The 9,201-nt window shown below is 38.4% G+C and overlaps 1 annotated feature.

The window, feature by feature from the left end:
• Positions 245–773: an enhancer, noted in NCBI's record as "NANOG-H3K27ac hESC enhancer chr1:209315048-209315576 (GRCh37/hg19 assembly coordinates)". NCBI's record gives its function as "activates a minimal SCP1, AML or CMV promoter by ChIP-STARR-seq in naive H9 embryonic stem cells {active_cell/tissue: H9 hESC(naive)}" and the evidence as "EXISTENCE:reporter gene assay evidence [ECO:0000049][PMID:30033119]".

The raw sequence follows: 9,201 nt of genomic DNA on the forward strand, positions 1-9,201 counted from the left end.
CAGGGACACAAACACTGCGGAAGGCCGCAGGGACCTCTGCCTAGGAAAGCCAGGTATTGTCCAAGGTTTCTCCCCATGTGATAGTCTGAAATATGGCCTCGTGGGAAGGGAAAGACCTGACCGTCCCCCAGCCCGACACCCGTAAAGGGTCTGTGCTGAGGAGGATTAGTATAAGAGGAAGGCATGCCTCTTGCAGTTGAGACAAGAGGAAGGCATCTGTCTCCTGCCCAGGAAGGCATCTGTCTCCTGCCCGTCCCTGGGCAATGGAATGTCTCGGTATAAAACCCGATTGTACGGTCCATCTACTGAGATAGCGAAAAACCGCCTTAGGGCTGGAGGTGGGACATGCGGGCAGCAATACTGCTTTGTAAAGCATTGAGATGTTTATGTGTATGCATATCTAAAAGCACAGCACTTAATCCTTTACCTTGTCTATGATGCAAAGACCTTTGTTCACGTGTTTGTCTGCTGACCCTCTCCCCACTATTGTCTTGTGACCCTGACACATCCCCCTCTCGGAGAAACACCCACGAATGATCAATAAATACTAAGGGAACTCAGAGGCTGGCGGGATCTTCCATATGCTGAACGCTGGTTCCCCGGGTCCCCTTATTTCTTTCTCTATACTTTGTCTCTGTGTCTTTTTCTTTTCCAAGTCTCTCGTTCCACCTTACGAGAAACACCCAAAGGTGTGGAGGGGCAACCCACCCCTTCACTCAAGTCCTTTGCCCATTAAATTTTTTTTTTTTTTTTTTTTTTTTTTTGCGACAGAGTCTTGCTCTGTTGCCAGGCTGGAGTGCAGTGGCGCGATCTTGGCTCACTGCAATCTCCGCCTCCTGGGTTTAAGTGATTCCCCTGCCTCAGCCTCCGGAGTAGCTGGGACTACATGCATGCACTACCACGCCCAGCTAATTTCTTGTATTTTAGTAGAGATGGGGTTTCACCATGTTGGCCAGGATGGTCTTGATCTCCTGACCTTGTGATCCACCCACCTCGGCCTCCCAAAGTGCTGGGATTACAGGCGTGAGCCACCATGCCCAGCCTAAATTTTTTTTGTTTGTTTGCTATTGAGTTCTAGAAGTTTCTTATATATTTTGGATATTAACCCCTTTTTAGATACATAGTTTGCAAATCTTTTCTCCCATTTCTTAGATTGCCTTTTCACTCTGTTGATTGTTTTCTTCACTGTGCATAAGGCTTTGTGTTTAGATCCACGACGTTCAGTCTCCTCATTAGTTTCCAGGTGGGACTGTATTGACTATCAAAGGGCTGAAGAACAACTTATCACCCAGAAATTGTCCATATAATACAAAGAGTCTTAGAAGATAAGAGCTATAAGATACTACTTGTCATTGTTTCATGGACCATAGAATCCCTGAGTAGATACTCAAAGAGCAATTAGTCATTTTATGCCTTGAGAAACATCTGCTATATGTTCAAAAAACTCAATATACCTTGTGGTTGAAGGAAACCTGATAATGGGTCTTGGGAGGTAAAGTGATTCTGCAATGAGGACATGATGACCAAATTGTTGTGGAGGAAAATATTTAGCAACTTTAGGAGAAAAGCCTTCTCCCCCTCAGAAGCCCATTGGCTCTGGGTCAGAGGTGTGGTAACTGAGTGAATTCCTGCCCTCAGAGAAAAGATTGCCTCCTGAAGAGAAATGATATTCCTGCATCACCAAACAGCAACTTCAGTTTCCCTTTAATCATGCCCCTTAGTTGATAAAAGCAGAGGGGGCTGATTGCTCAAAGGCTTTAAAAACGGTGGATGAAAAGCAGAATCCTTACAATAACATTTTTTTCCACATCCAATCAATCAGTTTTCGCTCTATACCTCCCACCATCCCCATTTAGGCAACAACACAGGGGCTCTTTGATTGTCTCACTAGGTTCTACAGCATGCTCAAAAATTCCTCAAAATCAATTGCCTTAATCCAAACAACTGGAAGAAAAAAAAGGAAGAAAGAAAAGGAAGGGAAAAAGAAAGGAAAGGAGGGAGGGACAGAAAATACAGAAAGTTAACATGTTCAAGGCCTGGGACTCACTGCCTTAGGAAACTATTGGTCAAGAGAAGCTTTTCTTCCCTGTAGCTAATTTGGAGGCAAAATGAGCACCATGTGAAAAAAGGCAAAACTGAAGATGTTCTGCCTACACAGGACTAAGTTCTCACAAGAGTAATGTTAAGTGCCATTTACTGCTTCAGGAGGACTTTGTTATTATTATTAATAACATGATTGTTATTCCAACTTATTCCAGGTCTCTTCTTTAGCATCACAAAACTCCCTGAAAATCACTTTTGTCTTCTTTGATCATTTCTGTACCTCTTCCGTTTTCTTTGCATTATAATACACAGGCTAACAATACAGTGTACTATAATTTTCCCCCATTGAAATATAACAACATCTCCTCTCTCCGAAAAGTAGACTGATGTGATTATTGAGTGGGTCTGGGTACTTTGTGCTTCATCTTTTCTTGCTGTAACAGACAGCCCTTTTTTATTCTTATGATAACTGAAACATTTGAACAATCATTGTCCTACAAAGGAGCTGATCTTGGAGCAATTGTGCTTTGTACCACTTCATCCCCTTTGGGAGCAAGATCATTTTTAAAATAATGACTTCTCCAGCAGTTTATTACCAGCCTGAAGTCATTTTCACACCTCAGAAGTGAAGGCTTAATGAGCAGAGAAATTAAAGAGTAAAACTCTGCTAGTGTCTTCTTAAATGGCAGCATTTTGGCACCTTAGTAGATGCACTCCCAAAGAGGAGCTGCGTCACATTCATCTTGTTCTCCAAATGACCTTTAGGTAATGAACCTCAAAGTTTTCTCTTCCCTGCCCCACAACTCTATCCCTTCTTTTCCATGCTGGAGGAGATATCTGGCTAGAAGATCAGGTGGTAAATAACGCAGTTGTGTTAGTATAATGAATTTACCTAGCACAATGCTGAAAACACTATTATTGAGCAATAAAATTTTCCTGATTGAGTAGTGGTCACACAGACCCTCACCACCACAGAAACTCCCTACTAAAAGTTGCAAATTCCTAGGCCTCTTTTAGAAATATGTTCAAGTACCACTTGTTCTTGTAACCCTTTCGAACTCTCCCAGTTAGTTGCTCTCTCTTTAATGCTCCTAGACTGCTTGGTTCTTATGTCTATTGTTTGTACATATTATTGTAATTATTGTGATTCTAATAGTCTATCTACATGTCTATCTTTCCCATCAGACCTTGAGTTCTGCAAAGACAGTGACCAAGCAGTGTTCATTTTTACATCTCTAATTCTCATTATAATGCTTAGCAAAAGTAGAAGCTCAGTAAATATTTGATAATATTTACTAAGTGAATAAAAGATGATTACAAAAATTCTTTTTAAATGAAAGATAATATTAGAGATTGTGTCCTTTGATTCAAAATAGAGCAATAAGCTTTTTGCAGTGGCTCATGCCTGTAATCCCAACACTTTGGGAGGCTGAGGCAGGTGGATCACTTGAGTTCAGGAGTTTCAGACTAGCATGGCCAACATGGCAAAACCTCGTCTCTACTAAAAATACGAAAATTAGCCAGGTGTGACAATATGCACCTGTAATCTCAACTACTCAAGAGGATAAGGCATGAGAATCACTTGAATCTGGTGGGTGGAATTTGCAGTGAGCTGAGATCATGCCACTGCACTCCAGCCTGGGTGACAGAGCAAGATTCCATCTCAAAAAAAAAAAAAAAAATTGAACAATAAAGACCAATAGATACATGTAAAGACTGACTATGCTCCACACGTGAATGACATGATTAGGTTAAAGGAAGAGAATTCAGCAGTCCACTTCCAAACTCTACAATAAAACTTCCCACATCCCTGCTATAATACAGATGCCCTGTGAAGCATTTGTGCAAATCTATTGGCTTTCCCACCTGGCCTAGAACAATCAAATCTATTTCTGGCTAAGAAATATGCTGTATGGGTATGATCAAATTGCCCAGAGTAAGAAAGTCAAATTAATGAAGTGGTAGAAATCAGTCTATATCAGTGGCTGATGAGCCAGCATCTGCCTACATAATTGCATATTTTGCTTGGTTAGATTTGAGATTCTTGTTGATATTTGGAACATTCTTCTCTTCCTGCTAATGTTGGTAATTGGAGTGCTAGATTTTGACTTCCAAATCTTTCATTCATTTCTTCTTTGTGACAGGGAAAGCCATAGAGGAAACAAGTGAAGAGAAAATAGTTATTTGGGGATGAGAGAAAATATAGGGTAAGGAGGGGAAATAGAAGAATGTGAGAGTCCTTCCACCAAAAGAACTTGGGAAGGTTGAGATCATCTCAAGATGATTGGCACCCAATTCTATTAACAAATATGGAAAGCATTTTTAACTAATTCCAGGTTTCACATGTTGTTTGTTGTGTGGGACTTACTGTCGTCAGAGGTTGATTCACTCCTTCTCTGCAGTAGATATGAGAGATGAGGCAATTTTATTTAGAAAAGCCAATGGAATTTAGCTGGTGTTTACTGTTTCATAAAGGAATAATGGATGAATTACCTAGCTAGACCCTATTGGGTAGAACTGTTAGTTAAAATTGACAAGCAGTCCTGTAATTTACACTGCAATTTGGAAATTTAAGCTGGGAGGCTCAGAGCTCTCTATTGTGCATTGTAAAGCTTCTTTTGTACTTCTGACTCATTTTGTGTTGGGAATCATTTAGCCATTGGCTTTAACTGCTAATACAGTTCCATCAAATACCAAATATAAATCAAAGTTACTGGATCATTCAAAATCTGTTGTCGGAGTTGTTTATATGTATTTTCTTCCACCACTAGTTTAGTATAGTTACAAGAGAAGCTGCTAAATTATGATATATTGTGCATGCCTTGTTGCCATCTTACTAGAGCCTCTTGCAAATAAGATGTAATCCATGACAAATTATTTTTCTAGTTATACAAAACATAAATAATGATAATAAAAAGGGAATCAAATTGATGAAAGAGGAAGAAGAGAGAGAGGAGAGAGGTTTCAAATAAATAGCTTTGTTTTGGGTCCTGGCTGTCCAAAACAAGTGAGAAAATAAAGGAGGAATTTTAAAACTCACCTTACCACACAGGGGCCTAAATTGCACTCTGCCTAGTCTAGCCTCCTAGAGAATGATAGAAAACTCTCACTGGTCACATATATAACCTTTTGTTTGAAATTGGGTCTACTCACTCTCAGCCTTGTATACAGAATCTGCATGTATCATTTGTAAAGTCATTGTACTCAAATAAATATTTACTGTGTACAAATGATCATGGATCATGAAGACAACAGTGGGAGAACCCCATCTTGGTGATTCCAGGTTCTCTAATATCCATACGATGTCAATGGGCCTCAGATGGTGAAAATCAATGTGACGTTCAATATGAGCAAATCAGCTATCTTATCTGAATCTTTGTTTTATGACATTTTAAATTGTAATTCAAAGGATAGACAGATAAATAAATTAGCATTAGATTTACTTACAGTGAATAAAGAAATATTGTGGTAGGAAGAAATTGCTAATGTCCCAACATAGTCTTTCTGCCTTTCTTTCCTGGCTTTTATTTCTAAAATTTCTACCAGGCATGCCTGGAGAATTCTGAAATCTACCTAGAAATGTCAACAGTGTCTTGTTAATAGAAGGCCTTACTCCTATCCTCTAGTTAAGTTATTATTTTCTCCCCTTGTGCCATAGATATCTTTGCAAATCTGTGTGATATTGGAAGACACAAAGAAAGCAACAAATCAAAAAATTCTATCTCAAGTCATCATGGTCATTAATCTTACATGAACACACTAAAATAAAAGATTTGAGAATGAGCATTTATCAAATCATACTTTGCCACGATTAGTGTTACAATACAAATATTACAGTGATAGATGAGACACTAACTGAACTCTAATGGTAGCATCCACAAGGACCATTAGAATTATATAATAACCAGACATATTTTGTTCAGATTCCAGAACTCAGGAACATCTTTTTTAAAAGGAAGTTTTGAAAACCATGTTGAGTCTTGTAAATTTGGATCGTCACTGCTGTATCCTCCCAGGCATCAACAATCAGCCGCTATCACAGGATGTTGGCACTCCAGGGCCCCAGATCAAATCAGCAAAGCAGTTTAGAAATCTAAGGAGAGAAAAGAGTCTTTGCAATTAAGAGTGTTCTACCCATTTACAGAATCAAATTTTCCAGGAACACAGCTTAGTATAAACCACGTTTCATGAACATTTCAACATAATATAACGAACACAAGTGTCTCAATGAAGCAGATAGCAGAGCAATTTGTACTAGCAGATGGTTCACCCTGGGATCAGAGCAATTATCTTCTTACTCTACATACAAGGGTAGCCAAAGATTCAACAGTTGACTATTCAAACAACTTAGCAATACAAGTGAATTTTTGAAGCACTAAAATAAATAGGATTTGCATCCTCTTCTCTCCACAAGCAAGTTCTGGAGAATGTTCAGAAGAATATAAGATGATTTCTTTTTTTTTTTTTTTTTTTTTTTTGAGAAAGAGTTTAGCTCTGTCACCTGGCATGAGAGCTCCCTGGGTCTCGAACACTGAGTTAATTTTATCACCTCAGAATTTCCTGAAGCAGTGCTTTACTCTCTGCTTCCAGAACAATTTAAGACTCTCTAAGATCTCCATGCCCACTCTGGTTCAACTGAGAAAAACAGGAACTCAAATGAGAACCAAAGTTCAAAGTAAGTATTTTTTTTTTAAAACACCTAGACACCAGTGCCAAGCATTGCCCTAATTACTTTGCAAATATTTAATTTAATCCTCCTTATATTCTATGAGATGTCTTACAGTCTCTTTTTTTTTTTTTTTTTTTTTTTGAGACAGAGACTCACTCTGTTGCCCGGGCTGGAGTCCAGTGGTGCGATCTCAGCTCACTGCAAGCTCCTCCTCCTGGGTTCATGCCATTCTCCTGCCTCAGCCTCCTGAGTAGCTAGGACTGCAGGCATGTGCCACCACACCTGGCTAATTTTTTGTATTTTTAGTAGAGATGGGGTTTCACTGTGTTAGCCAGGATGGTCTCGATCTCCTGACCTCGTGATCTGCCCTCCTAGGCCTCCCAAAGTGCTTGGATTACAGGCGTGAGCCACTGCGCCCAGCCCTTATGGTTTTCATTTTTATATGAGGAAACTAAGGCTGTTATTTTATCCTTTGGATTCTAGAATAAAAGCCTGACTATCCTTTTAATGTATTTTTATTATTTGCATCAAAAACATTTTCATCACTATTAGATCATCCAAGGAGATCTTTGTGCTTTTTCACAATTAGCTTTTATTTCATCTATAGTAATTTAACCCAAGATTATCAGGACAAGAAACCACATACTGAGGTAAGGTAATGGGATGGATATGAAGAGAAGGAAGAAAAAGGAAAAGGATCACCCAAGCACCACTGGTACTTATATTTAACTGATAAATTGGTTTCCTTACCTAGAAGATAAGCTTTTCACCCCATCTCTTGTAATGACAACAATAAAGTAAACAACATCAGCAACAACAAAACACATTTGTAGTAGAAGGGCTTGCTATGTGCCATTCATTGTTCAAAGTGCTCAATGTGTAACTTTTTTTTTTTTTTTTAGATAGGGTCTCGCTCTGTCACCAAGGCTGCAGTGCAATGGCTCAAGGTATAACATTAAATAAATTAACTCATTCACAAGAATTACCGAAGCACTCTCATATAGTCATCATTTCTATGTTGCTTTCTTTTATCTGAATAGTCACAGCTGAAATAATTTACCATAAAATTAAATACCAGTAATTTTTAGGACAAATATATTCATGGTTATTGATTTCTGAAATGCAAGTTTCAAACATGTCTCACATTAGAATTCCAGGCTTTATTTTTTTTACTACTCCAGGAAAAAGAGTTCGGAGTTCTTTTTTCCCTATTTTTCTGATAAGCTAGAGATATATGAATCACTTTATGGTAAAAGATTAGATGTCTTGAATCTGGATGTGCCCTACTTCCTACTTTTAAATGTCATTATTTAGAGAAATTCCTGTACCTATTCTGAAAGGGCTCAGGTGGCCCTGATGTAAGATTAAGTAATGTCATCTTATTTAATGATTTCAAAAGCATCAGGCATTAGATTTTCTTGCCAACTCACTAAACCTCTTCCTCATAATGATATTGGTAAAAAGTAGAACAGATGCATAACAGCTGGCTCATGAACTTCAACATCTCAGCCATTTCTTGGCAGTACTATCAATGTTTTTCCCTGAATACAAAACCTAATTGGTTAGCGTTGTACAACTCTGGGGGTAGAAGTCTTAAATACACTACTTAGTTATCGATTTTCAAATTATAATTCACACAATGGGTGGCAGATTCTTAGGCACTTACAGTTCAGTACTGCTTTATTTTCCATGAGTATAACTTGTAGGTTACAGAACTTTCCCTTAATTAGTTAGCCTGCAAAGAGTCATTTCTTTCCTAAGTTTTATCCAACAGTATTTTTTTATGGTTGAGTTGTAAAACCTTTGAAATATAATTTTATAATGGGAAGCGACAAACTCTAGTTTCAGTTCAACCATCTGCCTTTAATAAATACATGCTCCTTTCTTCCCTACAAACTCTGACATTTTCTTCCTATGACCCAAGGTGGAGAAAGAGAGAGAGAGAAAGGGAGACTGATTGTTTTTAAAAAGACTATTAGTAAATCAGCACTGTGAAAAAATAGTTATAATTGAAGCACATGTATCTCTGAGAAACAGTGCTAAGTCAGAAATCTACTTTTAAATGTGCTTTTCTAATATTTACTACTGTCTTCATTAATGGCTTTCCCGCATCTGAAGTCAAGGCAAGCTTTTCAGGACCACGGACAGAAACACACTACTACCCCTCTTGCACAAGCAGCAAACTCCTCATCGCATATGGCAACATGGGCTATTGAGTTTTGAATGACAGTTATATGCATTCATTTTCATTTTGGGGGGCCATCTGGTTTGTTCATACTGCTGGGATTTCAAAACTCAATGAAGATGGATATTGCCTAGGACACTTGATGCCTTCAGGCTGACCAGGGACAAATGTGCCTGTCTAATAAACAAAATACAGTACTATTAAAAATCACTGTGTCACCATATTTGCTAATAATTATGTTTTCCTTAATTCAATAATTTTGCATTTTAGGGGCAGAGTGACAGGATCCATCAACATTAGGTTT

The sequence above is a fragment of the Homo sapiens genome, chromosome 1, assembly GCF_000001405.40.
Source record: "Homo sapiens chromosome 1, GRCh38.p14 Primary Assembly".
Lineage (NCBI taxonomy): Eukaryota > Metazoa > Chordata > Mammalia > Primates > Hominidae > Homo > Homo sapiens.